The following is a 27,529-nucleotide window of genomic DNA, read 5'->3' as shown; positions in this document are numbered from 1 at the left end:
TGACTCATTGCGTGTGGGTGGGGGTGGGCGTGGTGAACCCCTGGGTTGGAATCACAAGGGTCGAACACGCTGGCACCCTCGACGCTTTTCCTGCCTCTGTTCAGGGTGTTTCTCTGTTCTGACCTCCTGGCTTTGGGGGTCGTGGGATATGCATGGGGTCCAGGGTGCAGAGGGTGACCACTGTTGATTGCCCCCTCTCTTAGCAGCTCCTGTGGTCCCTGAGGAGGCGGCGCCCCCAATCCTGCACCAGGGCAGTCCCCTTCTCCCCACCACCTCCTCCTGCGGTCCAGGCTCTGAGTCTGCTTCTGGAACCTGCTGGGGGCCTTCGGAAGAAGCCACGGTGTCATCCCACACCTCCCCAGCAGGCTCTGTGAGCAGCCTGTCCTGTCCCTCTCTCTGGGAGTTCCAGAAAGCAGCGGCTACCCTGATCCAGCTTTCTGGGAGCTCCAGCTCTCTTCCCAGCTTGGAAGCTGAAGACTCCCCAGACGAAGGTTTCAGCTGGCCTGGAGAGCTCTCTGCCCGACACTCCTCGGGGGAAGCTGGCCTGCCTTTGTCCTGGCGGTCAAACCAGGGTGAGCCTCGGCCAGGCAGTGCTCCTGGGGGTGGAGGATGGGTGACCTGGCAGAGGCCCCAGGGCCGCAGGGCCGGCCCCCTGCGTGGCTCCTCCTTGGACACGGCCATGGCAGAAGTTTCAGCGCCGGAGCAAAGCCCAAAGGCAGGCTGGCTACTGCCTTTCCCAGACATCCCCTCTCCAAGGTCAGGGTCAGAGCTGTCAGAGGCCTCCAGCAAAGTTTGGGAGGAGGACTGCGAGGAGGACCTGCCAGAACCCTGTACCGGGGCCAAGCCAGCCTCGGGGAGCTCCCTGCCTGCAGGTGGCTCACTGGGCCTTGGAAGCGGCGTGGAGCCCCAGGTGGCTCCTCCCTCCCCACGGTCCGGGGAGGGGCGGGAAGCTTCTGGGACCAGCGAGAGCCTGAAAGGGGGTGTCAGAAGCGGCATGGAGCCCCAGGTGGCTCTTCCGTCCCCATGGCCTGGGGAGGGGCTGGAAGCTTCTGGGACCAGCGAGAGCCTGATGGGGGTGTCAGACACAGGAGAAGCCCTCCAGGCACCCCCTGAGGCCGCCGGTGTGGTGTTCCCGCTGCAAATCTCTTCTGCCGGTGACTCGGACTCACTGCTGGTCTTTCCTTCGTGGACCTCTTTGAGTGAAGGGGCAGATTTCGGCAAAGGAGGAGAGACTTCTGGCTACCAGGAGGGAACCCGGGATGCTGACCCGAGCCCATCCACCAAGAGCAAACTCCCGTACCTCATGCCAGAGCCCGAGACCCCGGTGACCCTGCAGGCTCCTCCTGGGGACCCAGGCAGGCTGGCACCTCCAGTAGCTGAGAGCCGGGCGCCTGGGCCTGGTGGGAATGGGGCCCCCACTGTCCTGGAGGAAGCCTGTCCCCTACTTGCCGGTGACGTCTTGACTGAGATCCTGTCTCCCGTGGACGAGTTGCTGTCCTACGGCAGTGCCGACCTCCCGTCCTCCATCCACAGGGAGGCCCCCCTACCCCCACCTCCTCCCACTCCCCAAGCACAGAGTGATGGTGAAGACACCAACCCATGCTCGGATGCCTTCCCTTCCCCGCCCTCGGGGCCCCTTGAGGAGGACACCGCCATCACCACCCAGGATTTGTCCTCCTTGTCTGAGGAGAGTCTGCCGGAGGGACTGTTTCCTGGGCCCCAGGGGTCGGCGGGAACCCAGTAGTTGGGGCTCTGCCCAGGGGTGGCTGGTCCGGGTGGAAGCGTTGACGACCAGTTGGGTAGATGCAGTTCTGCAGCAGGGGATGAGGCCGGAGGCAGCCAGTGGCCTGAACCTGTCAGCTGGCCAGGGCACTCGTCGTGTGAGGGGTCAGGCAGTGCCCCTGGAGGGCTCCCAGGGCCATCAGTGCAGCCCCCAGCTCCATCCAGAGTGGCCTCTGTGGCCAGGGAAGGTCTGTCAGGGCTGTTGGCAGCTGGTGACGTGGAAGTGATGATCGGCGGACTGGGCTCCTGTTTTGGGCACAGGGTTCTGGGCTGATGTGGCCTTTGAGGAGGTCTTGGGCAGTCGGGGAGAGCCCTGGGAAGGAGCGCAGAGCTCTGGGCATGCAGAGAGCCGGGGTGGGTAGCGGGGCAGCTCTTAGTGGGTCTGGATGAGCTCCTGGACACTGCCTCACCTGCGGCAGGGTCCCTGGGCAGCCGAGCCTGCTTGGCCAAGACCCCCACCAGGGGCCAAGACCCCAAAGAAATGCTGGGTAAGAACAGGAAGGCAGCCACACCCCCACAGGCAGCCACACCTCCATGTCCCTGGTTGGCAGCCCCGGCAGCCTCTCTCCCAGGCCAAGTGCCCTTGGCCGCCAGTGGAAAGTCTGGGTCCCTTGAGCATGCTGGTGAGGACGTTGAGGGAGGCCTGAGCTGCCAGGTAGAGGACCCACCCAGGCCCGAGGGCTCACTGGGCAGAAAGCCGCTCCTGGAGACAGACTCAGGCCGCTGTACCCATCTCCCAGGTGTGGAGAGAGACCAGGCAGTGGACTTGGTCTCCACGTGGCTCACCAGGAGGGTCCTGCGTGACTCCTTAGCAGCTCTCTCCACACAGGCCCCCAGGTGCAGCCCCTAGGGAGTGTTTTCTGGAACTACAGAGGTGCACAGGCGTCCACAATGTCATTGTGAGCTGTGTGTGGCATACACATGCACACGTGGGAGTAAGAACCTAGAGGCCTGGACTTTCCCAGGGTGGACCGGCCGGGCGGCCGGCTGTGCGGGACAGTCTCCTGGACCTTTCCCCGGTGGACCGGGTGGGCGGCCGGCTGTGCAGGATGGTCGCCTGGACCTTCCCAGGGTGGACCGGGTGGGCGGCCGGCTGTGCGGGACGGTTGCCTGGACCTTCCCCCGGTGGACAGGGTGGGCGGCCGGCTGTGCGGGACGGTTGCCTGGACCTTCCCCTGGTGGACGGGGTGGGCGGCCGGCTGTGCGGGATGGTCGCCTGGACCTTCCCAGGGTGGACTGGGTGGGCGGCCGGCTCTTCCCAGGGTGGACCAGGTGGGCGGCCGGCTCCGCAGGACGGTCGCCTGGACCTTCCCGGGGTGGACTGGGTGGGCGGCCGGCTCTTCCCAGGGTGGGCCGGGTGGGCGGCCGGCTCTTCCCGGGGTGGACCGGGTGGGCGGCCGGCTCTTCCCCTGGTGGACAGGGTGGGCGCCGGCTCTGCGGGACGGTCGCCTGGACCTTCCCCTGGTGGACGGGGTGGGCGGCCGGCTGTGCGGGATGGTTGCCTGGACCTTCCCAGGGTGGACTGGGTGGGCGGCCGGCTCTTCCCAGGGTGGACCAGGTGGGCGGCCGGCTCCGCGGGACGGTCGCCTGGACCTTCCCGGGGTGGACTGGGTGGGCGGCCGGCTCTTCCCAGGGTGGACCAGGTGGGCGGCCGGCTCCGCGGGACGGTCGCCTGGACCTTCCCGGGGTGGACCGGGTGGGTGGCCGGCTCTTCCCCCGGTGGACAGGGTGGGCGCCGGCTCCGCGGGACGGTCACCTGAAGCCAGGCCCGGACTGCACACCTGCTTCTTCGCATCAAAGCCACGAAGAGGCGTCCAAGAAAAGGCGTTGCAGCCCAGAGGCAAGAACAGTCAGAGTCGCCAAGAGCAGGAACGAGGACGGGGCGGAGCAGCGCCTATGCCAGGAAGGGGGTCATGGGGATCAGCGAAGGCCAAGAGAGGAAGAGAGAACATCTGGGGAAAAGAAGAGCTGGGGTGGGCCTGACTGGTGCTGACTCACACCCCTGAGCCCTGCTTAGAAGTCAGGGGCATCTGCCTGCTTTGACTTTGGAGGCTCCTCCCACACCCAAACTGCCGGCACATGACGTGCAGCTGGGTGGACTGGGCATGGATGTCTCACACCTGAGCTGCACAGACCAGAGGAAGCCACGGCTCAAGGGCCCAAGGTCATTTCTGCGCAGCCCGCACGGCCGGGGGCTTTTCCTCTGGGGATCAGTGGCCCAAGGTCTCTTCTGGAGCATGCTCAGGACTTGCTGTGCCTGGAAGGCCAGGGCAGCTGATTTCTCCTGGTGCCATGGACTTTTCTTTGCTTCCAGAGGATTCACTGGGACCCCTGTAATTTCTCTGGGACCCTTTTGAATCTGAGGGTCTCTTCTTGAATGCGGAGTTGATGAGCAGCGTGTTGGCCTTAGGGACATCTGTGTCCCAGCACTGATCCTTCCAGGATGTGGCTTCTCCTGTCCAGGGCCTCAGGCCTCCTCCACTTCAGAGAGGAGCATACTCCAGACTTTATGCATGCAGTCTGGTGGGAGGCATCACAAAGCTGGCGTGGCAAAGCCCTAAGATGCCAGGTCACAGGACACACGGAGCTGCCAAGGCCCTCTACCCCATAGCTCTGGTGAGAGACCCCAGGCCCCTTAGAACCTCTTTGGGCCCCCTGCCGTGAGGCAAGAGCCCCTCTCCAGACACCCCTCGCCCGGGAGCAGCTGGACCCAGCCTGCCTTCTCCAGCCCCGGGGCGGCTGCTTAGCCCCAGGTGCCGTTAACAATGGCCGGCCTGTGTCAGGGTCCCCATTCACCATGTGCACAGGAAGCCCAGCTCGGGCCATGCATCTGATTTTGCACCAGCTCCTGCCCAGCCCACCTGAGAATGCAGATGTTTGGATCCAGTGGGGAATGTGTTCCTGCTCCATGCTCCCAATTTCAGAACAAACTTTGAGCTGAGCTACAGCTTTCTCATTGATCCCCTTCTAGTCTTCTGAACAAATTAGTCTGTGATTTTTTATTTTTTTCCATTTATTGCTGACCCTTTTGGATTTATGAGGCCGTGTGAGAGGAATTATGTATCTCACACACACGCATCTGGCATGACGATAAATCTCCACCACTGAAGCCCCGCAGATTTGCAGCGAATCTGATGGCTCCCAGGCTCGCTGCCACGTGGTTGGTGCTGACGTGCGGCGCAATGCGGTGGCGGCTGCAGTCACAGCTGGAACCAGCGTGACTTTCCCTGGGAGCCCAGCAGGTGCCTCGCGTCGCTGGCAGGTGGTAGGGTGCCCTTGAAGGGGGCTGGTCGTGAGGAACGAAGGAAAACCCGGGCCAGGGCTTCCAAGGACAGCGGCCCTGGAGGGGGCCGGAGCCGTCAGGTTACTCTGAGCACCGGAGAAAAAGCCGCTTCAGCAGAGGTGTAAACGCATTTAATCTCCCAACAGGACATATACAGAGCGGAGGGCTTTGGCATTCAGATATATTGACCGGGCAAGATGGTAATCCAAGGTTCCTCCCCTTCAAGGTCTCCTGCTGTATTTGCCTGGGCTCTGATCTGTCGTCACCGCTTGGGCCAATAAATCTTGATACCAGCCTCCAGAGAAGTCATTATCTTTCATAGAAAATGATTATTTCTCAGTTAAACCCTACATTTAATTTTCCCGTGATCTGTCTCTTTCAGCTTCCCTGCTTAACGGTTCCCTCCTGCATAAAATGCCCATGAACGTGTCCGCAGTGCTCCGAGTCCCAAATCATCAGACAAACTTTACGAGTCCCTTTGATTCCCTGCCCTGCGTGGCCATCACGGCCACCCTCATAAAACACGCATGAAGGCCGGGGGCCCTTTATGAAAGGTGGCGGCCGCACACTTTCCTGGGAAGCAAAGCCTCCAGGCACCCAGGGCGCTGGGAGAGCTCACTCACTGCCCAGGCGGAGCAGGGTCCCTGCGGGTCATTTTCTCTGTCCCCAGGGTCGAGCTTGGCCCGTTCATGCCCAGCAAAGCCAGGCTCACAAGCCGTCCTTTTCCCAGCTCCCCAGGCAGCTTTGGGGTCCTGGAAGAGTGTTGGCAGGTCCCACAGCCATCCCATGGTGCCCTGTCCCCGCATGGCAGCATCAGAGCTGGGAGCGGAGGATGGGATCACACACACCCCCTGGCCCTGGCCCTGCCCCGGGGCTCCCAGCCGCCCTTCTCCTGCCCGCCACTCACCATGTCCATCAGGCTGTAGCCGATACAGCACCAACCACACTGGTGCTGGGAGCCAGCTCGGGCTCTGAGGCTGCCTGGGCCCTGCTCCACCTCTCCCTAGGGGTCTGGCAGGAGCCCCTGCCCCCAGACGTGCCTCCATGTCCACAGTCCCTGGAGGGTGGCCACCCACCTCCTCATGGTGTCCTAGTGAGGACATGAAGAATTGTTCCCTCAGGCACTGTCCCGGGCACGTCGCCAGTGCTCAGGGGCTGGCACAGGTGTGCAGAATTTTTCCTCAGAAGTTTTCCCAAAATGGGTGGTGGTCGTTAAGCAGCTGAGCCCTCCATGCCAAACTCCTGCTAAAGGGGGAGACGTGGACAGCAGGGCAAGTCCTGGAGCCGGGGCCATTGAAATCCATTGGGCCTCATCTCTGCTCTCCCCATGTGGAAAGGGAGGCGGCTCAGAGCTGGGTTCTGTCTTTGTCTCCAATGCAAGCATCAGAGTGGGCCCTCCTGGGTTCTGGGAGGCACGTGGGCCTGAGGCCCTCCTCTCTGTCACATACATGCCATGTGCCCTTCACCTCACACAGTAGTCAGCCCTCTGAGCCTCAGTTTCTCCCTCTGTAAAACAGGAATATCAATACCTGTTCCACGATGGGTAGGCCTCTGCAAACCTGCCCCAAAGATGGAGGAGGCTGAGAGGCAGAAGAAAGAGGCTGACAAGTCCAGTTTCTCAGGAAGAAACATTTAGTAGGGACTTACAAATGGAAGCCACATCTGTGTCTCTGGAGGCACCGACAGACGGGATCCCGCCACCACCCCCAGGCCCAGGGCTTATCTGCCATAGGGGAGGCTGGTTTAGAAGGAACGTGCAGAAACCTGAAGCAGACAGCATCAAGGCTTTGTGCCCTAAGGGTGGGATTTACGGCAAGTACCTGCTCTACACAGGGAACAACAGATCAACTGGAAATCTTGGAGGCCTTCCCGGAATCAGGCTCATCAGGATCCAACACAGCAGATTAGGTCCAAGATGCTGCTGCCTCAGCCTGCACAGTGCCTTATCTCATCATGTCTGAGATGTGATCTCCCCGCATTTTGATCTCTTTGAAGCCAGAGCTGTCTCTGTCAGGGCATCTGAAAATGGCCACTGGCCGCGTGTTTTCTCGCTCCGCGGCACGCACGCTAACCGCGCCTGCAGTCACCTGGCCTTTGCCACAGCGACGTGCGATGCCTCTCCTGCAGGTGGGGTGGGGGGCAGATTTCACGCAGGCTTTGGGCAGGATCTGGCTCAGCACAGACAGCTCTTACGTAGACTCCGAGATTCAATCCTAACCCCTTCCCCTCCCCCGCCCTGCCTTAGATGGGAGAAACTCTGGTTGTTTTGGGGTGTGGCCTCTAAGTGCTGGGCTAAGCTTGGTCCCAGGGGTGGCTCCGTTTCACCGAGCAGGTTTGGGGTGAGGTGTTGCCCCGATGTTCCGAATGTGCCCCTCCAGTTGGGCTCATGACGTCCTCTGTCTCAGCCAGATCAGCCTCCTTTCCTCCACTCCTTGTTCCCCTGCCACCTCGCTGCTGCTCCTTCTGGAGGCCTGGGGCTCAGTGTGTGGCCCTCCCCTCTGTCCCACAGCCTCCCCGGGGGACCTCAAGCAGCCTCAAGCGCTGAGCTCCAGACTCGACTCCCACTTCTAAACCCTGACCTGACACCTCCCTTAGAGGTTGAAAAGGCTGCTCAGATGTAACAGGTCCAAAGCAAACTCATGGCATCCTCCCCAGCATAGCTCTCCCATCTCGCCGCTGCAGGATTTAGTCTCAGCCGTAAGCAACCCCATTCCTCTGGTTGCTTTGGCCCAAACTCTGCGAATGTGACACCCTCTGCCTCCACCCAGACTCAGCCGACCCCTCCACCAGCACTGCCTCTCACCCCTCCCCGGAGTCCCTCCAGCTTGTGGAAGGAGGCGGCGGCCCCTCCCAGGTCCCCTGCTTCCCCTCCTGCCCCTCCTACTCTGCAACTAGAAGGGCAGAGCTGCATCCTTGCACCGATCCTTCCGTGGCCACCCCCCCATTCAGCATCAAAGTCTGAGTCTGCGGCCCAGGTTGTGAGGCCCCCTGGGTCTCGCTCGGGCTCTCAGCTTTTCTTCCCTCCCACGCTTCCCCCAGCTTGCTCCGCTCCCACCAGGTCCGGCTCCTTGCTGTTCCTCCAGCGTGCTCAGCACCCTTCTGCCCCAGGGCCTTTGCATGTGTGCCTCCTCCCTCACCTCCTTCTCCATTCGGGTCACCTTCTCAAAGACCTCCCCACCCTCCTCTGTACGGCAGCCCTGCTGGCACCTGCTTCCGTGTCCGGCTTCATTGCTTTTCATAGCACGCGGTGGCTGCTTTACGCGTTGGTTTGTTTGGGGTCTGCCCAAATGCAGGCCAGGGACACTGGGGGCTCGGTTTTGTTCTTGATTTGTCTCCAGGGCTTGGCACAGAGCAGAAGCCAGGAAACGTGGGTGATGGAAGGAAACATGAACAGGGAGACGCAGGACGTGAGGAAAAGGGAGCAGACGCCTTGGCCAGGGGCCCTCTGGGGAGAATCCTCTCATCTGGGGTTAACCATTGTTAGCAGCAAAACCTTTTAAACAAAATCTTACACAGAACCCCACAATACAGTTATCTATTTATTTTGAGACAAGGTCTCGCTCTGTCATCCAGGCTGGAGTGCAGTGGCAGAGTCACGGCTCACTGCAGCCTCAAGCTCCCAGGCTCAAGCCATCCTCCACCTTAGCCCCTCAAGTAGCTGGGACTACAGGTGTGCACCACCATGCCCGGCTTTTTTCTTTTTTTTAAGAGATGGGCTCTCGCTATGTTGCCCAGGCTCGCCCACTCCCTTGTTTTGTTTTGGTCACACAGTTCAGAGAAAATCTTGACATGTGTAAAAATTAGGAATAGGAACAAAAAAAAAAATCAGGTATCCTGTTCAATGAAGCAAAAAAGTCATATGATTTCATTTCCAAACCGTGAAGCTGCATTCGACTGGAACATCCTAAAAGGTAGCACACAACACATCTGACTTTGAGTGGATGTTTTGCTGCATTTTCTAAGCGTTCCAATATCATATTAAAAAGTCGAGGCTGGCTTGCAGACCCTCTGAAGCCCCAGGTGGGGTTGCCAAGTAAAAGAACCCCGGAATAGTTTTTTACGTCTAAGAATGTCTTGTTAAATTTGTATTTCAGGCATGGCACAGACCTAGGCTGAAAAACCGACTCACTGTTTGTCTGAAATTCACGTTGAACCTGGCGTCGTGCACTTCCATTTGCTAAATGTGGCCACCTGGCCCTGTTCAGGGAAGGGGTTTGGGGAACGCGCGGCGGGGTGGGGCGGGGCCTGGGCGGAGCCTGCCGCGCCTGGGCGGGGAGATGGCGTCATCAGACTCTTGGGGGCGGGGCTGCCACGCATGGGCGGGGGCGGGGGCGGGGAGAGAGGGCGGGGTCAGACGTGAGGGGGCGGGGCGGAACAGAACTGGGCGCGCGGGGGCGGGGCCGGGCGCGCCGGCGCACGTGACGGTGGTTGCCAGGGTGAAAGTTCAGCGCGCCGGCGGCACTTCCAACATGGCGGCGGCCGGGGCGGCGGTGGCGCGCAGCCCGGGAATCGGAGCGGGACCTGCGCTGAGAGCCCGGCGCTCGCCCCCGCCGCGGGCCGCACGGCTGCCGCGGCTGCTAGTGCTGCTAGCGGCGGCGGCGGTGGGGCCGGGCGCGGGCGGTGCGGCGCGGCTGTACCGCGCGGGCGAGGACGCCGTGTGGGTGCTGGACAGCGGCAGCGTGCGCGGGGCCACCGCCAACAGCTCGGCCGCGTGGCTCGTGCAGTTCTACTCGTCGTGGTGTGGCCACTGCATCGGCTACGCGCCCACTTGGCGGGCCCTGGCTGGGGATGTGCGAGGTGAGGCGCGCCCCCGCGCGGGGACCCCCCGACCCCCGGGACCGCGGCCTTCCGGGACCCCTTGCGACCGCCCCAGAAGGCGGGTCCCGGGGCCCCTCCCCCGTATTTCTTTCCTTACCGCAGAGCCAGTCCCTGCCCCACAGAGGCACCCGACTCGGACCAACCCTGGCCTTTCCAGGGGCGGGAGACTAAGCCAGCTGCTCCCCATGTCTCTCCCAGTTAATCCCCGTTAGATCCTGACGAGTTGGGCTGTCTGAAGTCAAAATGAAACCATTCTCCCGCAGCCCTCACCGCACGCTTGGGGATAGGGAAGCCCTCCCGTATCCCAGCTCTCAAAATACCTATGTTTTGAGCCCCAAGAACTTCATTGACCTTCCAGGCCTCCTACCCTACCTGTTTCCTAGCGTCCACACACCCCATCCCCAGTGCCCAGAATTCCTGTTCTCTGAGGATCCCTCATTCCTATTCCACACTCGTAGCCACCCCATTCCCTTTGAACCTTCATCATTAACTTTCTGGTTCGGATCGCTGGCCATATAGTGGGTGCTCAAAGTGAACCCACAACTTAGAAGTCCAAATACTCTGGAGACTTCTCTATAATACCCCAAAACAACCTATAAAGCAATTTTTTTAACTCTACAAAGAATTTCATTGGTGGGCTCCTTGATCACAGATGCACAGCCTTTGAGAAATCTTTCACCAAACTGCTGGTAGTGTTCCGCACTTTATTGTTTAGTGCTTTCATCTGGTCGCACGTTGTTAACCAGTCACGAAGTTACTCGCCTGCTCTACAGGTTAGAGTTGGCGTGGGAGGGGGCATTCACAACACCCTTCCCTTAAAATGGTATTTAAATCACTGAAGTAGGAGGTCCTCCCGACCCAGTGAGGTTTGGCAGGACTTCCTGTGTTGTGCTAACCTCAAATTACATGTTTCAGTGGGCAAGATCTGTAACAAATTGCTACTCTTTCTTCCTGCACCTTTGTTTTTATGCCTTACACCCAATCCTGCTGTATTTTTCTCATCGCAAACAGATTTGTAAAGAAACTTTTTTTCAAGTCTAAGTAGGGCTTTTGTATGTTACTGTAAATGGTTATCTTTAAAATGCATTCTCCTCTTAGAGAGCTGGGGCCTTTTGATTCTAATGGATTCCTCCTCTTTGATCTCATGTTTTCTTATGTCCCTGTTGACCTGACTCAGAACTGAGGTCAGAGACTGGAAGAGATGGACAGAAAAACTGTTCAGTGGGGTTTTTAGACACTGCTTTTAGGAAAACAAACAAGTAATTCAATCACGTAGGGAACCCTTCAGTTCTTGTGTGTTATTCAGTGGCAGAAACAGATATGTTCATTAAAATGCAGGTGGCCCTGGCAGGACTTGGTCACTTTTTTTGTGGGTTTTGGTTTTGATTTTTTTTTTTCAGTTGAGTCGCTGAAGTCTAAAGATCGTACCAGATTCAAATATTGCAAATTCTGTAACCGAAGCAGCACATAGGCAGCCTTGAGAACTGTCCCTGGAGCTCAGAAGGAAGGCCCCTCCTGAGAGCCACACAGTAACGTCCATACCCAGTGGTGTGATGAACTCAACTCAGTAAGCCTCCTTTAGTGAGGCTGACTGTCTTCCCAGTCACGACAGGAAGAACAGGCTTGTGCCTGAGACTGAGACTGGAGGAGGATATGGCTGAAAGTGAAAGACAGCGGTGACCTGACCAGGCAGCAGGGAGAGGGCTTCAGGGAGCCCAGGCAGAGGGTCCTGTTGGCTAAAAAGCCAAACTATAAAATACTGAAAGAGGTTTGTTCTGAGCCAATAAGTGTAGTGGCCATGGCCAGGGGAACAGTGTCAAGAGGTCCTAAGAAAGTGTGCTCTAGGCAGTCACGTTAATTTGATTTTATACATTTTAGGGAGACAGAAGTTATAGGCAGAGAGACATAAATCAGTACATGTAAGGTATAGGAAGGGGTAGGTTTACAGATCATAGGTGGATTCTGACTGGCAATTGATTGAAAGAGTTAAGCTTTGTCTAAAGACTTGAAGTCAGCAAAGAGAAATGCTTGAGTTAAGCTAAAGGGGCTGTGGAGGCCAAGGTTAAGTAGATGAAGCCTCACAGGCAGCAGCCTTGGGGAGAATAGAGGGTAAATGTCTCTTTTCAGACCTGAATGCTGTCAGACTCGTTAAATGTCTCCTAGATCCAGGAAAGACCTAGAAAGGGAGGGAGATTCTCTACAGATGCAAATTTCCCTCACAAAAGACAGCTTTGCAGGACCATTTCAAATATGTCAGGGAAATAAATGTATTTGGGGGTGAAATATTTTGATTTCCTGCAGGGTGTGCTATTTGTCATGTGGTGCTGTACCCGAGTCAGGCTGGAGTTTGGTGTCGTTGCTGCTGAGGCTGTGCTGTCTGTCTGTGATCTCTGTTTCATCACGCTGGTCAGCTCTGCCTAAACTCCAAAGGGAGGTGATGTAACCAGGCGTGTCTGACCTCCCTTGCCGTCAGGGCCTGGAATTTCTTTCCTCAGGTTGCCCTGGGGTCTCCTTGGCCAAGAGGGGGTTCAATTCAGTCAGTTAGGGGACTCAGGATTTTATTTTTGGTTTACAGTCCTGAGAGCCAAGCTGTGCCCATGAGGCTTGTGGGAGGTAGAGTCCGGGTAGAAAGGGATGAAAGGCCCTTGGCACTGAGGAGTCCCCGGAGCTGTTCTAAGGCTGGGACTCTCAAAGTAGGGCCACTTAGGGCCTTGTTAGAAATGCCTGCTTCTCCACAGCCCCAGCCCAGACCTGCCAGCTCAGAACTGTCTGCTTGGCGCCTGGCTCCCTGTCTGTCATCCCTGCGTGGAGCTGTCCCACAGGGATAGGGCGCCCATTGCCCGTGGCAGTGCAGGGGTCTGGCTGCATGCAGGCATTCCCGTTGTCAACATTCTCATGTTTTCTTATGTCCCTGTTGACCTGACTCAGATCAGTCACCTGTGGCCCTGATCAATCACCTGTGACTTAGGTCATCCTGCTGATCCCCTGGGGGCACACAGGCCATGGCTTGGGCCCCCACTTCTACCTAGAGTGTCCAGCCGCCTTCTCCCACTGGTCCCCCTGGCCAGCGCCCGCCACGCCCTGCGTTCTTCATGCCTGTGGCTGCTGGAGAGGATGGTTAGGTGTGGGCTCTGCTTCCCAGGAGCCTCCAGCTGGAAGGAGCAGGACAGGCCAGGGCACCTTTGTTTTCCTCAGAAATTTGGATTGAACTTTAGCTCTTGACTGGCTTTTTCAAGGCTGGGAAAATAAATGTTTTTTCTTATAAGAAGGTGGCTTAAGAAACAAAAGTTGTACTGTTTGGTGTGACCAAGTGTCATTCTAGTGTTTGTGGAGATTTGGCTTAAGCCTGTCACTTCTAAGTACTTTGCAGAACAAAACCTTGTTGGGTTCCTGAAGATCTGCCTGGCAGTGATGGTTGCTGGGTTTGTGATGGAAGATGAGGCACCAGGGCCTGGGGCTACACTTTGGCCCGTCTGACCGGTGAGATCTCCGAAATGCCTCTGCAGTCTTGAGTGGACAAGAGGGTGCACCCTAAAGGCAGGGCCTGTGTCCCCGTGCGCCCTCTGTGGCCCTGGTGCCTGTTCCCTCCCATCTCCTTCACTTGGTCAGCCTGAGAAAACAGGGCAGGCCACCACCCACAACAGGCTGAGTCCTCCTAGACCTGCCCTCAGGAGGGCGGGAACGCTTATGTTGTAGATGATAGCACATGAGGTTGCGTGGAACAGGCCGAGTCCTCCCACACCTGTCCTCAGGAGTGCGGGGGCGCTCATGTTGCAGGTGATAGCACGTGAGGTTGCGTGGGATAGTCACGGTCACGCAGCTGAGTGACAGGCCGGGATGGGTGTCCAGGTGTGGGTGACCTGGAGCCATGGCAGTTCATTCCTGTGTCTTTGTAGAGGACAGGTGGGGGTTGGGAGCTGGACACATCCGACATCTCTTGAAGGAAGGGTAGGGCATTCTGTGATTGCTGCCAGCTCCTCTGTCCCACTTGGTCTGGTTTCTTGTCTACTCGACTAGGCTGCAGGCTTCTTGGAGATGAATTAGAACTTGGTGTTCCCCACAGGCTCATTGTCCGTTTACTGGAAAAAGAAACAATAAGGGCCAGAGGGAGGGGGACATGCAGGTGTCAGCGGGCATTTGGCGGGGCTGACGGCCCGTGAGAGCTGCCAGGTGCTCACTGGACTCGGGAGGATGGAGAGGGTGGAAGGAGGAAGAGTTGGGCAGTGGAGGCCTCCTGTCTCCTTACGGGCCCAGAAATGGCTTAATGTAGCCCCGCTGTGGCGACCACATGAGTATTTTACAGAAAGGATGGTGCATCGGAGCAGCCGGGCTCCCCGCTGGCCTCCCCAGTGGCTGTGGTTGGTGCGTCTGAGACTACACCGAGAGACCCAGGCCACTTACTTGTTGTTGAAGTAAGACGGGATGGTTTGCTAAGAGGGCCTTACAGCCACGTCCAGGGAGCCGTCTCCGCTGTGTCATGCCGGTCGTCGTGCCATGGGGTGACCCAGGTCATAAGCACTGCTTGGGCTTCCCTGACAGAGGACGGGCTGAGGGACTGTCATTCCCTACCAACAGATAAACAGCATTGGAATTGCTGTCACCTCGGAGCACCCTTCGAGGCTGAAGAACGTGTAGTTTTGGTTTACCAGAATTGAGTTAAATGCTGGGGATCAAGAGTCCATGGGACCCAGCCCTGCCCTCAGTCCCCAGATGAGGCGACCGTAGCGTGTGCCCGGGTTTTCTCAGACCAGCCCTTGGCAACTTCTAGGTGATTTGTGTTAGGCTCTCCTGGTCGCTAGGTGGGTTTCATTTCTACCCAGGCCTGTTATTCCAAACTTGTGCCTTGAACTTGGAGCTTAGCTAAGAAGACCTTTGCTCAGCCAAGAGGGGGCTCCACCCAGAGAGGGTCTTCTCCAGGGACTGGTATGCGGAGTTCGAGACCCCAGCATGGCCCTGACTCAGGAAGGAGAGGCTGCAGTGGACCTCTGTCCCTTAAACACAGCTCCCTAGTTGCCTTTCAACTTGGGAGATTGTTTTATCTTTACTGTAATCATTTTCTAGAACGATTTGATACTGGACTATACATTAGACTTCTGTAGACTTTTTCATTAGAACGTGACAAGCAGTAAAGAGTTAACCTTGTTAGATTCAGTATTAGAGTTATTTGACAAGCACATTTGAAATAAATGTTAATCTACTATATATAGAAGCTTAATTATTTCCCAAGTATTTTTAAGACTGGAGTCCTAAAATAGCCAGGCTCTTGAGCAGAAGTGAGAATAGGCCTGCGGTCTCATTTCTGCCTCCCTTTGGAACCCCCTGGCTGTGCTGGGTTGGGCACCCCCGCCCCTGCCACACCCTGTGCCTCTCAGCTGGCTCTAACCCCAGAGGCCCAATGAAAGCAGGCCATTTGCATTCTGCTTTAGAGGTTCAGAGCTAGACAGGTGGGCAGAGCAGGAGAAGGGGAGGGTACCCGTTGAATGAGGCCAGTGCCCTGAAGCTAAGCCTTTTACGTGTTTTGTATTTGATTTGATAATATGGACTACCATATCTTTTGTGTTGCCATGAATACCGTCCATCTGCCGAGTCCTTGCCGGTACTCCTGGCGCCTGTTCAGCTGCTGAGGGAGGCCTGTGTAACTGAAATTCTCCCTCATCTGCTCGGCCTTCCCTGAGCACACGGCCTGGCATTCTTTCAAGGACAGACAAAGGCGACGTGGGGTGCCCGCATGCCCCTTCACCAGGACTGACCCTGAGTGGGGTGGTGGTGTTGGGAGCGTAGCTCTACTGAGGCAGGTCGAGGTGCTGCCCCTGCGGACTGGTGGATGGAGCTGGACTTCCCTCGCCCTGCAGTGTGTGCAGGGGCTCTGCGTGAATTCACGCTCCGGGATGAATTTGCGCTGGAAATTCATCTGTTGGAGGAACAGCAGGGAACAAAGCAGGGAGGTCCCCACCTGAGGAAGCCTGTGCTTTAGAGGGAGTAGCAGACAGTCAACAGGAAGACAAATAAAACAAGGAAGTGGCCGGGGCAGTGGCTCCCGCCTGTAATCCCGGTACTTTGGAAGGTGGGAGGATCACTTGAGCCCAGGAGTTCAAGACCAGCCTGGGCAACATAGCAAGATCCCCACTCCTGTGGCCCCAGCCACTTAGGAGGCTGAGATGGGAAGATCACTCGAGCCCAGGAGGTTGAGGCTGCAGTGAGCCGTGATCACTCTCCTGTACTCCAGCCTGGGTGACGGAGTGAGACCTGTCTCAAATTAAAATAAATGAGTTACCTATAGGTTGTAACTCCTAGAAAAATGAACAGACCAATTAGAAAGAAACTGGAGTGGCCCTGGGTGGTAGAGCAAGGCGTCAGAGGGCAGCGACTTGGGAGAGGAGCCACGAGGTGAAGGCCCTGCCAGGGGCATGGCCAGCACAGAGGACCCGAGACAGCCAAGACTGCAGTGTCCAGGGGACCTTTTGTTTTAGAGATCGGTCTCTTCGTGTGGTCCGGGTTGGCTTTGAACTCCTGGGCTCAAGGGACCCTCCTGCCTCAGCGTCCTAAGTAGCTGGGACGATGGGCAGGTACCACCACGCCCGGCTAAAAGGACTTTGATAGGGTCTTGGTCGCTCAAGGGGGCAACCACGAGGTCCCTGAGGGCCCGGCAGCAGGCAGATGCAGGCTCAGTAAACGGTGCTTGTCTTCTTCCTGAGCAACAGAATGCCAAAGAACAATTTTAAGCAGGGAAACCTGGTTTCTAGGTAAAACTCTCTGGCTGCTCTCTGGAGAACTGAAGACCAGAAACCAGCGGAGCACAGTGGGATGTGTGAGAGAGGCCAGGCCGCGCGTGGCAGCTGGGGCCTGAGGGGCAGAGGGAGGGTTGGCACAGCCAGGTGGGAGGAGGCTGCCCGCCGGGCTTGCTCAGGGCCTGGATTGCGAGGCGGGAATGAGGCCCGGGGAGCGTTGTCTTTGGAAGGCCAGCTCAGGGTTCCCTGAAGTGTGAGGGATCCTCGGGGAACAAAGGGGAAGTCTGTGCCTTCCTGGTAGAATTGTGGTTTCAGGTCATGTAGACAGTGTTTGGGCAAAAGTTACCGAAGGCCATGTCTTGTCTTCTTGGAGCATGAGAGGGTGCAGGGAGGTGGGCACGCACCTGAGATGCGGAGCAGCGTGTTTCGCTCCTGCCCAGGGCACGGCTCTTGTTCCTGGCCCCTGGCTGATCAGTTTCCCCGTCTGACTAGTTTTCTGCATCCTGTTGCTAAGGAAATATTAGGTAAAACCTGGAAATAGGACAAAAAGCTGAGTCTTGTGTCCTCTCAGCATCATGTTGGGGTGTTGCACAGGCTCGCCCAAGGGCTGTGACCTGGGGCACGGACATCTGTGTGTTTATCCTGCTGTTCACTGCTGATTAAGGGCCCAGGCTCTGTGGTTACTCGTGAGCTCGCCGACCTCATCTGTCTGGTAGACAAGGAAAGCCCAAAGGTTGTGGTTTTCTTGCCCCATAGGACAGTTTCTTTGTGCACTGTCCCTGGGGGCAGATAGCACTATTCTCTGTGCTCCCCACCTGGCCTCACCCTTTCCTTCAGCAGTCCCAGTGGAAGAATGTTGTTGACGCATGTTCACTCTGCGTTTGTGTGAGAATCGTGTGTTTAGCTTTTGGAAAATTCTACTTGGACACTGGCACAGGACGGGCTCCAGGTGACACTGGCACAGGATGGGCTCCAGGTGTGGCACAGGACGGGCTCCAGGTGACGCCGGCCCAGAGCAGGCTCCAGGTGTGGCACAGGACGGGCACCAGGTGATGCAGGCCCAGGACGGGCTCCAGGTATGGCACAGGACGGGCTCCAGGTGACGCTGGCCCAGGATGGGCTCCAGGTGTGGCACAGGACGGGCTCCAGGTGACGCCGCCACAGGACGGGCTCCAGGTGTGGCACAGGACGGGCTCCAGGTGTCGCCGGCACAGGACGGGCTCCAGGTGTCGCCGGCACAGGACGGGCTCCAGGTGTCGCCGGCACAGGATGGGCTCCAGGTGTGGCACAGGACGGGCTCCAGGTGATGCAGGCCCAGGACAGGCTCCAGGTGACGCCAGCCCAGGATGGGCTCCAGGTGTGGCACAGGACAGGCTCCAAGTGACGCCGGCCCAGAGCAGGCTCCAGGTGTGGCGCAGGACGGGCACCAGGTGATGCAGGCCCAGGACGGGCTCCAGGTGACGCCAGCCCAGGATGGGCTCCAGGTGTGGCACAGGACAGGCTCCAAGTGACGCCGGCCCAGAGCAGGCTCCAGGTGTGGCACAGGACGGGCACCAGGTGATGCAGGCCCAGGACGGGCTCCAGGTGACGCCGGCCCAGGATGGGCTCCAGGTGTGGCACAAGACAGGCTCCAGGTGTGGCACAGGACGGGCACCAGGTGTGGCACAGGACGGGCACCAGGTGTGGCACAGGACAGGCTCCAGGTGACACCGGCCCAGGACGGGCTCCAGGTGACGCCGGCCCAGGACAGGCTCCAGGTGTGGCACAGGACGGGCACCAGGTGATGCAGGCCCAGGACGGGCTCCAGGTGTGGCACAGGACGGGCTCTAGGTGACACCAGCCCAGGAAGGGCTCCAGGTGTGGCACAAGACAGGCTCCAGGTGTGGGACAGGATGGGCACCAGGTGATGCAGGCCCAGGACGGGCTCCAGGTGTCGCCGGCCCAGGACGGGCACCAGGTGACGCTGGCCCAGGACGGGCTCCAGGTGACGCAGACCCAGGACGAGCTCCACGTGACGCAGGCACAGGACTGGCTTCAGGTGTCGCTGGCACAGGACGGGCTTCAGATGTGCACTCCTGACGCTGGGAATTCACCCGGTATTTTATTTATCAGAGGTGTCAAGGTGGAGTGCACCCGTGTAAGTCTCGGGGCGCACGCTGGGTTTTGGAGCACCCGTTTGGCCAGGGGGCCTGTGGTTTGGGTGATGCTGCAGCGCTGGCTCTTCTGCTGTCGTGAGGAAAGCCTCAGATTGGCCAAAACTGGAGGGAAAGCAAGGTGGGTTTTTTCTGTCTCCTTTATTTAAGCTGGCAGCTGCGGCCTGTTTCAGAGGGCGTCCTGTTTCAGATACCTGTGAATATCCGTCTAGTCCGGCTGAAGGAGAATCACCATTGCCACCTAGCATCTGCCCCATCTCCGCACACCGTGCGTCTCCCCAGGGGCCGGCACACAGCCCTCTGTCCTTGGGCAGCAGCCAGTCCTGTCTCCGGGTGCCCCATGGAGGAGAGCTGTCTACCTGGCTCTCTGTGCGGAGCAGGGAGTGGGGAGGAGGTGGAGGGTCAGGAGCGTTGTGACGATGCCTGGGACAGCTGAGTGGAGGTGGTGGGTGGCAGGTGGCTTGCAGAGTCTAGACTGGGAGAGGTCCGGGTTGACTTGGTGGGGTGCAGCCCCCATCCTGGCCCTGACCCTGACTGCCAGTGACTTCGGACCCAGAGGGAGACTGGCTGCTCCCTCAGCTACGGTGGCTGCGAAGTTCCATACATCATCCTTACGATGGAAACTGCTCTCCACAGCCCAGTTCCTCCCGAAGCTGAGGCCAGAGAGTGTCGCTGATGAAAATGTTCATAGAGGAAGTGCCTGCAGGTGCTGAGCCGGAGACCCATGCCTTTCTGTGTGCCCGGAGTCCGTGGTCTTGGATGTGGAGAAGAGACGGCTCAGCCTTGGCCACCACTGGGCCATGCTGCCTCTGTAGCCACCAGAGCTCCACGGGTCGCCTGGGTGTGACCCAGCGCGAGGGAGAGGGGAGCAGGTGGTCTTCAGGGCTCTGGCTGATGCCAGCGCTCTATGCTTGCTGGCCACCCAGCTCACTGGCCACCGTCTTCCTTCACTCAGACGTCGTGGTGGTTATGAGTTCTCCACGCACATCAGTGGCTGCCCGTGGCTGTTGAGACAAAGAACAAAGTCTGCACCAAGATCTGCAGCCTCTTGTGAACCGGCCCGAGCCCAGCTCAGGGCTTCCCCTCGTCTTCCGTATGACGGTGTCCCTGACTCCAGGTGCTCCCGCGGCCGCCTCCCCTTCTGCCCTGCCAGCCTGAGTTGTCTTCTCTCCTTCTCTCCTTCCTTGGTCGTCACTCCCCGTAAGGGCCCAGCAGTGTCCCTGGTCTTGCATCCCCAGCACATGCTTGTCAGTCCCTGCAGGTGTGGCCGTCGTGGGGACGTGGCCTTTGAGTGGGCATGTTGGTCCTGGCCCTCCTCCGGGGGGTGTGCTGTGCCAGCACTCGTGCCTTTGACCCCGCCGATCCTCACACTGCCCTTGGGAGATGGATCTTCCTTGGCATCTCCATTTTACAGATGGAGCAACTGAGGCAAGAAGAGATTGTTACTTGCCCCAATTCTCAAAACCCAGTAAGCAGCAGAGCTGGATGTGAAGCTGCCTGGCTGGGTCTCCACCTGCAAGGAGGGTCTGCTGAGCATGGGCCATGGGCGGGGGAACCAGTTGAACAGCGGTCAGGGTAGACTCAGATGAAGTGGCATTCGGATGGAGACCTGGAAGGCAAATAGGAACGAGCCCGGTAAAGGGAGCGGGGGTCACACAGTCCAGACATGACTGGAGCAAGACTCGCCTGTGGTCGCTGGGGTGTGGCGCGATGAGGCTGGGGCGGGCGCAGTGGAGCTGGGGGGCCTCGTGGAGACCAGCCTTGCTCCCAAGCTGGGGTGTGGCGCGATGAGGCTGGGGCGGGCGCAGTGGAGCTGGGGGGCCTTGTGGAGACCAGCCTTGCTCCCAAGCCGGGGATGGCCATCGGGGCTTCCTCCAGGGCCCTGCTTCCGTCTCCACCTGCTGATGCGAGGTTCACAGGAGAGGTCTTAGTGACAGCAGCCTCACGCCCAGGAAGGTTCCTGGGTGCCAGCGTGCTAGCTCTGAAGGGGCTGTGTGAACTCTGTCACTTTTTTCTCCATAAAGTGTCTCTGTCAGGCCAAGAAGAATTTGCCACCGTTGCTCTAGGATGGTGCGTTGTCAACGCTGAGCTGGAAAAGGTGTGGGACATCTGCCGGACATCTGGGCGGCCCTCCAGGGGCTCAGTTAGAAGGGCAGCACTCCCGTTACGTGTGCAGTTGACCCTCAGACAACTTGCGGGCTGGGGGTGCCAGCTCCTGTACAGTCAAAAATGTGTATATAACCTGCGACTCCCCAAAAACTGAGCTCATAGCCCACCGTTGACTGGAAGCCTTACCAGTGACAAACGGTCGATTGACACAAACTTTGTGTGTTACACGTGTTCCGTACTGTGTTCTTACAGTAAAGGAAGCTAGAGAAGATCGTCGCACAAAAGAGAAGTAGGCCTTCTGCTCAGGAAGTGCCCCAGGTGGAGCCACGTGAAGGCCTTTGTCCTGGCCAGGCTGCCCCAGGTGGAGCCTCGTGAAGGCCTTTGTCCCGGCCAGGCTGCCCCAGGTGGAGCCTCGTGAAGACCTTTGTCCTGCCCCAGGTTGCAGCGGCAGAGGAGGTGGAGGCAGTAGAGGGGAGGCAGGCGTGTTCCGTGTCACTTCATGGAGGTACGTTGTGCCTTCTGTCTGGCTTTCTTGCTTTTTATTTCTCTAAACGGTTTCTGTGTGGTCCCAGTCTTCCTTCCACTGTTTGCTTTAGTTTTAGTGCCTGTTTTAGAAAAGGGTCCGTGTCATAGAAGAAAGCAAAAACCGTCTCGAGTGTTGAGAGTCCTGCCAGGTGATGGTGCGTTTGTGTTTGGCACTGGTGAGGAGGCACTTGGCTCCACAGCGTCGTCTTCTGTTCTCTTGAGTTGCTGCACGATTCGTCTCATGGAACCCTTCTCCCCTCCCTTTTGACCACATCCACGACCTCTCGTGGTTTCCTTGATTGGCTCTGTCATAAATCCCGTGAGGTCAGACACAGCCTGTGGACACAGTTTTCTCCAGCGGGAGTTTGTGTGGGCTCGACAGCCTTCACGGCTCTTCCTATAACAACGATGGCGTCTTCAGTGGTGCAGTCCTTCCAGCTGTCATCATGTTTCCTCTGTGAGGTTCTCTGCCACCGTGTTGGCCGTCCTGAGAGGACTGTGTAATGAGCCCTAAAGGGCCTTAGGACCCCAGATCTAGAGTAAGGCTCATTGTGTTTGGGGAGCAGGTAGACTGATGAAGCCTTCGGTGTTGAACTCATGAGTTCTTCGTGGCCAGGGGCATTCAGCAAGATGAAATCACTGTAAAAGGCAGTCCCTTACTGGAAGGTACTTCCTGGCTTCAGGGACAAAGCATCTGGAAAAGTGTTTCTCATTGCCCAGGCCTTCTCGTGCAACCAGAAGACTGGCAGCTGCTGTTTGTCTTTCTTGTTCGAGGCTCAGGGTTAGCGGCTTTATAGCTAAGGGCAGTCCTGCTGATACACCCGGCAGCGTGTGCACAAACAGCAGAGTCAGCCTCTCCCGACTGGTGCTCGCTCCTCTTCCTTCCTAATTCATGTCCTTTGTGGCATTTTTTCCCTAATAGGGCACTTGCGCCTGCATAAAAATACCTGTTCAGGCAGATGTCCTTTCTCCTCCATGATTTTCTTTTTTTTTCTTTTTTCTTTTTTTTTTTTTTTTTTTTTGAGACAGGTTCTCACTCTACCCAGGCTGGAGTGCAGTGGTGCAATCTCGGCTCACCGCAGCCTTGACCTCCTGAGCTCAAGTAGTTCTCCCATCTCAACCTGCTGAGTAGCTGGGACCACCGTGCCTGGCTAATTTTAAAATTTTTTGCAGAGACAGGGACTCCCTATGTTGCCCAGGCTGGTCTTAAACTCCTGGGCTCAAGTGATCCACCGGCCTCAGCCTCACAAAGTGCTTGGATTATAGCCATGAGCCTCCAGGCCCCGACTTACGCTGTATCCTGACAGTGGTTTACCTTTCTCTGTACTGTGAATGGTGCTGTGTGTGGTCTGTAAGTTTTGCGTGTGTGAGTTTTGATGCATTGTAACTTTTTATAATAGATTTGTATATATTTTGTGGTAGTAAATGATAAAACAGCATCTACATATGGTCTCTGCATTCATGACATGCCTTTTCTTAATTTTTTGTATATTTCTAGGCCGTGTGGCTCATCTGCAAGTTTTTTCAAATTGTCACATATCTCCAAAAAATTTCCCAATACATTTGTTGAAAAAATGTGCGTATTTAAGTGGACACACGCAGTTTAAAGACATATTGGTCAAGGTGACCCCTTCCCATGTGTCACGAAGAGGAGGGGACAGGAGGTGAGGGAGGCTGCCTGCCCTGTGCGGAAAGCGCTCACTGCACAGCCTCAACGGTTCCTGCAAACTGCCACGCGAAGTGCAAGGAAGACGGCAGGTCCTCAGATAACGACATTTCTGTCAACGTCATTTCCTTATAACGTGGATGAGAGAAAAAAAACTGGTTTTGTTATGTGTCCTTCCCCTTCAAGCCACCGTTTCCAGGAGCCTGTCAGTGACACGAAGTGAGGACTTCCTTAGTTTCCTCTGCCTCCCTGTTTATGTGTCTGAGGGTCAGTGGGTGGGACAGTTCCAGAGCAGAGGTTTCTCTTCGCTGGGAGAGCCTGGCAGATGGGACCTGCGGAGGAGGCGGAGAGGGTGGAGGGGGTGGAGGGGGTGGAGAGGGTGGAGGGGGTGGAGGGGGCGGATTGCCGGCCCTGAGGCTCGCTCTCCCTCTCTCGGCCTCTGAGGACTTGGAGCTCGGTGTCCTCATCTGCCAAGTAGGGGCGGTGACATTCACACCACAGCCTTTGATGGAAGCTCAAAAGGAATAAGGTGGGTCCGGGTGCTTCCAAAGCATTAAGGGCTGAAGAAACTGCACGGAGGCCATGGTAGCGGGCTGGGTAAGGAGCGATCAGTGTGGGGCTGTGAGGGGCACTGCCCTTCTGCCGCGTCATTTCGCACAAGCCCCTGAGCACTGGCCAGGGGCCTCCTATGTGTGGGGATGGGCCGCCAGGCTGATTGGACACGGATCCCTGCCTTCCAAGGGCAGAGCCCTCTGGTCTAGTGGAGAGACGGTGTGAAATATGTTGGGAAGATGAAGATCTTTTGCTTTTGCAAAGCCTTGGTTTTCTACATGTTGAAGGAGGCAGCGTGTCCTGCGGGAGCCTTTGTAAGGGAGTTGGTGGAATGATTCCTCCACAGGTGTTTGCCTCAGGGCGTAGCTGATGCATGTTTGGGCTGCAGCATGTCACCTGCGTGACGGGGAGTCTTCATTCGCCACGGTAGGATGGGGGCGTATTCTGGTCACACGCTAGTCGGAGTCGGGCACGCCTGTTAGGACGTTTGCCCTCCATGCTCGAGGTGTGTGCTATGCGGACCTGACGGACTTTGGAGCCTTCCTCGGCCTCTGTGAGCATCAGTTTCCCCGTCTGTAGGATCCTGCGTTTGTCACCAGGCCACTCCCGTGGTAGATAATTTGGTCAGAAAGCTTTGTCAACTGTAAAGGGCTGTGTAAATTTACTTCCCATGGAAACAAGGCCGGTCGGAGGCTTTTCCTGCCAATGAAACTAGGCCTGGGCAGGGGGTCAGGGAAGTCCTTGCTGAGGTGTTACCTGTGTTCAAATTGTGAAATAGATGGGAAAGCAACCAGGAACAGATCAGTGGAAAGAGTTCCACCAGGGAGGAGACAGGGCAGAGGCCCAGGGGTGGTGGGACGGAGGTCAGGCCTGTGCATGGCTGGAGGGGAGAGGAGGGGACAAGTGAGCGGAGCAGTGCTGGGTCTGGCGGATCCTCTGGAGGCCGGGACTCTCCCAGGCGCCTTCCAGCTCGGTTCAGAATGTTAGAATTATGTACTTAAGTCTTGATTTGAGTGTTTACTGGCTTATCATGGAAGAGTAACAGGTAGAAACAACCAGCAGACATTTGGTCTTGGGAATCTGAAGCCTCATTGGGGACAGCCTGTGAGGAGCCAGTGACAGGGTGGATTTGTGGCCCGACGTGATAAGGATGCCGTCACGGAGGCCGAGTACTGAGGCTCATGTGTTTTTGGGCAGCGCCCTGCGGTGGATGAGCTTGTTGGGAGTGGGGCACAGGAATCAGAGCAGTTGTGAGGCCTGGGTCGGATCATGCCTCTGTTCCTCCTGGGCTCAGCCCTTTGGCACCTGGGATTCTGCATTCCAGGTGTTACAGAGTTGTTTACTGCAGGGCTGACAGCCATTCCCACCGGCCACATTTGAACTCTTCACATTCTCTCTAGCGCTGCCTGAGATTCAGGAGAATTATTTAATTTTAGGGTTTTTTGAGATAGAGTCTCGCTCTGGCGCCAGGCTGGAGTGCAGTGGCGCTATCTTGGCTCACTGCAGCCTCCTCCTCCCGGGTTCATGCCATTCTCTTGCCTCAGCTTCCCAAGTAGCTGGGACTACAGGCACGCACCACCACGCCCGGCTAATTTTTGTATTTTTAGTAGAGACGGGGTTTTACCATGTTGGCCAGGATGGTCTCTATCTCTTGACCTCGTGATCTGCCTGCCTTGACCTCCCAAAGTGCTAGGATTACAGGCGTGAGCCACCACGCCCGGCCAGGAGGGTTATTTAAAAAGAGCAGCACCACCTGGCCTGGGCCCAGACTGTCCAAGCGGCCTTCACCTGAGGTGCCGGGAGAGTTCCACGGTCGCTGTGCAGGGCTCTGTGTTGCCACCTTGTACCAAGATCTACGGGAAGATAGAAACTAGGAAACATGCAGGAGAGGTGGCCAGAGGAGGGCAGGGTGTGATGTGGCCAGCAAGTGCCTGGGGCAGCAGGGATGTGCTGTGTGTTTGTTTGTGTAGGTAACATGCCCTAAGACAAATCTGAGAAACCACAGATGGGACCAGATCCCACCGTGAAAACCAAATCCTGGCAAACATCTTGGAACGTTTTCTTCTTCCCGTCTTTTGTTTTTGCTGTTTCTAGGCCGGCTTGATGATGTCACACGGCCGTGATTCTGTTGTGTGTGCAGTCTGGGCTCTCAGAGCAACTTTTTGTTTTGTTACATGTTCTTTCTGGGCACAAAGGTGCTTTTTTTTAAAAAAAGTGTGGAATAAAAATGTGTTATAGAAATTCCCAATAAACAGAATGAAACCATGTGGAATTGTGAGCCAGATAAAAGGCCACAGAAATGAGACACTTCGCCAGGATGCACGGGCTGAGGAGCCGGGGCTGTGGAGGGGTCCGCCCGTGAGCTGCCCACGGCGGGGCTGCTGGGAGCACCTCCTGTTTCCGCGTCCCGTGCCGTCTGCTGCGCTGACTGGGTGAGAGCATGAACCCTTCTTCCTCAGTTCCATGTGGTCTGAGGCTTGGGCAAGGAGTGGCCGGGGATGCAGAGAGCTCGTGTCGCTTCTCCCTCATCCACTGAAAGTGGCCTCAAAACCTGAATTGGTTTCACTTAGCCAGCGTAAGCGGGAACGGTATTTGGTCATTGTTTCTGAAAGAGGTTTCTTTCTTTTTTATTTTTAAATTACAGGGAGAAAAGGCCAGTATCTGAAACAGAGCTGTGGTATATTATGTAGAAAAATAGCAATCTGAACCGCTAACACACACAAGCCTTCATATTTGTACAGAGTCTGGTGATATGTTCCGTCTCTTCCAGGCATGCTTTTAACAGAACCTCTGGAGTTTGAGATCATAGCTCGCTCTCAGAAAAGACTCTTACTCTTTTTACATGATTTATAGTGGAATCATTGATTTAGACAAGTGGGCAGAATCGGAATACAAGGCAAAAAAGAGCCTCATCAGTATCTCAGTGACAGGCAGACATAACGTTCCCTCCCGTTCAGAAATCACTGGGCTTCCGGTCACAAGGCTGTGCCAGGGCAGCACCCCACGTGGCTGGCTCCATTCCTCCAGGCAGGTCCATTTGCTGGGTGCCTGGGTCTCGCCTCTGCACCTGCCTCTCCCACGGTGCGGCGTGCCCTGCCACACTGCCGACTCTGCTGAGGCCTCCAGGCTCCAGGATAGCCAGCACCCATCCCTTGACCCAGTGGTGCCCCTTTAGGCTGTCCCCTCAAAGTCTCAGGGCCTGGAAGGACCCCTACAGAGTGAGGAGCCAGGAAATATTTGTGAATTGTTGGCAGTGCAATTTTTACATCCCAGAGGAAGAACACAAATCTTTTAAAAAGAAAACCTCACTGGTCAGCTTCGGAAACCATGACTTTGATACTGGTGACTGAAGCACGAGCCAGGCACTCCCCTTCCTCATGTGAGTCATTCCGCTGGGTTGCAGTGAGGGCAGGTCTCTCTTTACAGAATTGTCCCAGCTCATCATGAGCAAACGGTGAGAGATGACACGTCACCATTTCACTGCAGCCCTGGTGCATTAATGCATTTAGGTCGTGATCACTAAGGAGAGAGGCGTCGCTTGCCTCTGGGTGGAAGCATGTTCCACTACCTACAAAGTAATGTCACCAAACAAATCAGACAAGAATCTAGATCTGAGTGCCCTGTTACAGAAATGCCAGGAGTCCGGGATGTTGTCAGTCAAACCCAGAGAAGGAAAGTGCCAGGACCCACCAGCAGTAACCAACAAGCCTCGCTGGGATCTTGATTCAAACAAACTTTAAACGAACAAATAGGGACTTTTTTTTTTTCTTAAGGTGGAGCCTCCCCCTGTCGCCGGCTCACTGCAGCCTGTGCCTTCCGGGCTCAAGCGGTCCTCCCACCTCAGCCTCTCCAGTAGCTGGGACCGCAGGTGTGCGCCACCAACGCCCAGCTAATTTTTTGTATTTTTTTTTTA

The 27,529-nt window shown here is 57.0% G+C and overlaps 2 protein-coding genes across 14 annotated transcripts in view, besides 14 other annotated features; both read left to right on the top strand.

The window, feature by feature from the left end:
• Positions 1–4,524: part of a biological region, named in NCBI's record as "9q34.3 QSOX2 distal recombination region", that runs on past the window's edge. NCBI's record gives its function as "recombination_partner: LOC108254695".
• The window catches only part of CCDC187 (coiled-coil domain containing 187), a 56,929-nt gene extending 51,564 nt beyond the window's left edge, over positions 1–5,365 (top strand). For 11 of the 13 annotated variants that reach the window (XM_047423386.1, XM_047423384.1, NM_001378188.1 and 8 more), the window contains one exon: positions 204–5,365. In XM_047423386.1, coding sequence (XP_047279342.1) covers positions 204–1,744 — 1,541 coding nt within the window. In that variant the 3' untranslated portion in view covers positions 1,745–5,365. The remainder of the gene's footprint in view (positions 1–203) is intronic. The other 2 variants (XM_047423388.1, XM_047423378.1) reach the window with 1 other exon arrangement.
• Positions 1,539–1,551: a nucleotide motif, noted in NCBI's record as "nucleotide motif; similarity to the predicted 13-mer PRDM9 A binding motif (LD hotspot motif), CCNCCNTNNCCNC". NCBI's record gives the evidence for it as "COORDINATES:motif similarity evidence [ECO:0000028][PMID:19165926]".
• Positions 1,614–1,668: a recombination feature, noted in NCBI's record as "recombination_hotspot; EGL057 recombination breakpoint sub-region, resulting in a terminal deletion". NCBI's record gives the evidence for it as "EXISTENCE:DNA microarray evidence [ECO:0005524][PMID:21729882]".
• Positions 1,650–1,662: a nucleotide motif, noted in NCBI's record as "nucleotide motif; similarity to the predicted 13-mer PRDM9 A binding motif (LD hotspot motif), CCNCCNTNNCCNC". NCBI's record gives the evidence for it as "COORDINATES:motif similarity evidence [ECO:0000028][PMID:19165926]".
• Positions 2,851–4,524: a meiotic recombination region, noted in NCBI's record as "meiotic double-strand break mapped by DNA meiotic recombinase 1 chromatin immunoprecipitation followed by single-stranded DNA enrichment and sequencing in the germ cells of some male individuals with the PRDM9 A/A and PRDM9 A/B genotypes". NCBI's record gives the evidence for it as "EXISTENCE:chromatin immunoprecipitation-seq evidence [ECO:0000229][PMID:25395542]".
• Positions 2,908–2,920: a nucleotide motif, noted in NCBI's record as "nucleotide motif; similarity to the predicted 13-mer PRDM9 A binding motif (LD hotspot motif), CCNCCNTNNCCNC". NCBI's record gives the evidence for it as "COORDINATES:motif similarity evidence [ECO:0000028][PMID:19165926]".
• Positions 3,195–3,207: a nucleotide motif, noted in NCBI's record as "nucleotide motif; similarity to the predicted 13-mer PRDM9 A binding motif (LD hotspot motif), CCNCCNTNNCCNC". NCBI's record gives the evidence for it as "COORDINATES:motif similarity evidence [ECO:0000028][PMID:19165926]".
• Positions 3,502–3,514: a nucleotide motif, noted in NCBI's record as "nucleotide motif; similarity to the predicted 13-mer PRDM9 A binding motif (LD hotspot motif), CCNCCNTNNCCNC". NCBI's record gives the evidence for it as "COORDINATES:motif similarity evidence [ECO:0000028][PMID:19165926]".
• Positions 6,637–7,491: an enhancer, noted in NCBI's record as "H3K4me1 hESC enhancer chr9:139139693-139140547 (GRCh37/hg19 assembly coordinates)". NCBI's record gives its function as "activates a minimal SCP1, AML or CMV promoter by ChIP-STARR-seq in primed H9 embryonic stem cells {active_cell/tissue: H9 hESC(primed)}" and the evidence as "EXISTENCE:reporter gene assay evidence [ECO:0000049][PMID:30033119]".
• Positions 9,289–9,558: a silencer, noted in NCBI's record as "silent region_20504". NCBI's record gives its function as "represses an Ori minimal core promoter by ATAC-STARR-seq in GM12878 lymphoblastoid cells {active_cell/tissue: GM12878}" and the evidence as "EXISTENCE:reporter gene assay evidence [ECO:0000049][PMID:35858748]".
• The window catches only part of QSOX2 (quiescin sulfhydryl oxidase 2), a 39,480-nt gene continuing 21,476 nt past the window's right edge, over positions 9,526–27,529 (top strand). The window contains exon 1 of the mRNA NM_181701.4: positions 9,526–9,862. Within this exon, the coding sequence (NP_859052.3) occupies positions 9,535–9,862 (328 nt within the window). The 5' untranslated portion in view covers positions 9,526–9,534. The remainder of the gene's footprint in view (positions 9,863–27,529) is intronic.
• Positions 9,589–9,998: a silencer, noted in NCBI's record as "silent region_20503". NCBI's record gives its function as "represses an Ori minimal core promoter by ATAC-STARR-seq in GM12878 lymphoblastoid cells {active_cell/tissue: GM12878}" and the evidence as "EXISTENCE:reporter gene assay evidence [ECO:0000049][PMID:35858748]".
• Positions 15,252–15,381: a silencer, noted in NCBI's record as "silent region_20502". NCBI's record gives its function as "represses an Ori minimal core promoter by ATAC-STARR-seq in GM12878 lymphoblastoid cells {active_cell/tissue: GM12878}" and the evidence as "EXISTENCE:reporter gene assay evidence [ECO:0000049][PMID:35858748]".
• Positions 15,597–16,125: an enhancer, noted in NCBI's record as "H3K4me1 hESC enhancer chr9:139131059-139131587 (GRCh37/hg19 assembly coordinates)". NCBI's record gives its function as "activates a minimal SCP1, AML or CMV promoter by ChIP-STARR-seq in primed H9 embryonic stem cells {active_cell/tissue: H9 hESC(primed)}" and the evidence as "EXISTENCE:reporter gene assay evidence [ECO:0000049][PMID:30033119]".
• Positions 26,014–27,213: an enhancer, noted in NCBI's record as "MED14-independent group 3 enhancer chr9:139119971-139121170 (GRCh37/hg19 assembly coordinates)". NCBI's record gives its function as "activates an origin of replication core promoter dependent on BRD2, BRD4, P300/CBP and CDK7 cofactors, and independent of MED14, by STARR-seq in HCT116 cells {active_cell/tissue: HCT116}" and the evidence as "EXISTENCE:reporter gene assay evidence [ECO:0000049][PMID:35650434]".

Source organism: Homo sapiens, chromosome 9 (assembly GCF_000001405.40).
Source record: "Homo sapiens chromosome 9, GRCh38.p14 Primary Assembly".
Classification (NCBI taxonomy): domain Eukaryota; kingdom Metazoa; phylum Chordata; class Mammalia; order Primates; family Hominidae; genus Homo; species Homo sapiens.
Note: the sequence above shows the minus strand (reverse complement) of the source record. Positions and strands in the feature narration are given on the sequence as shown.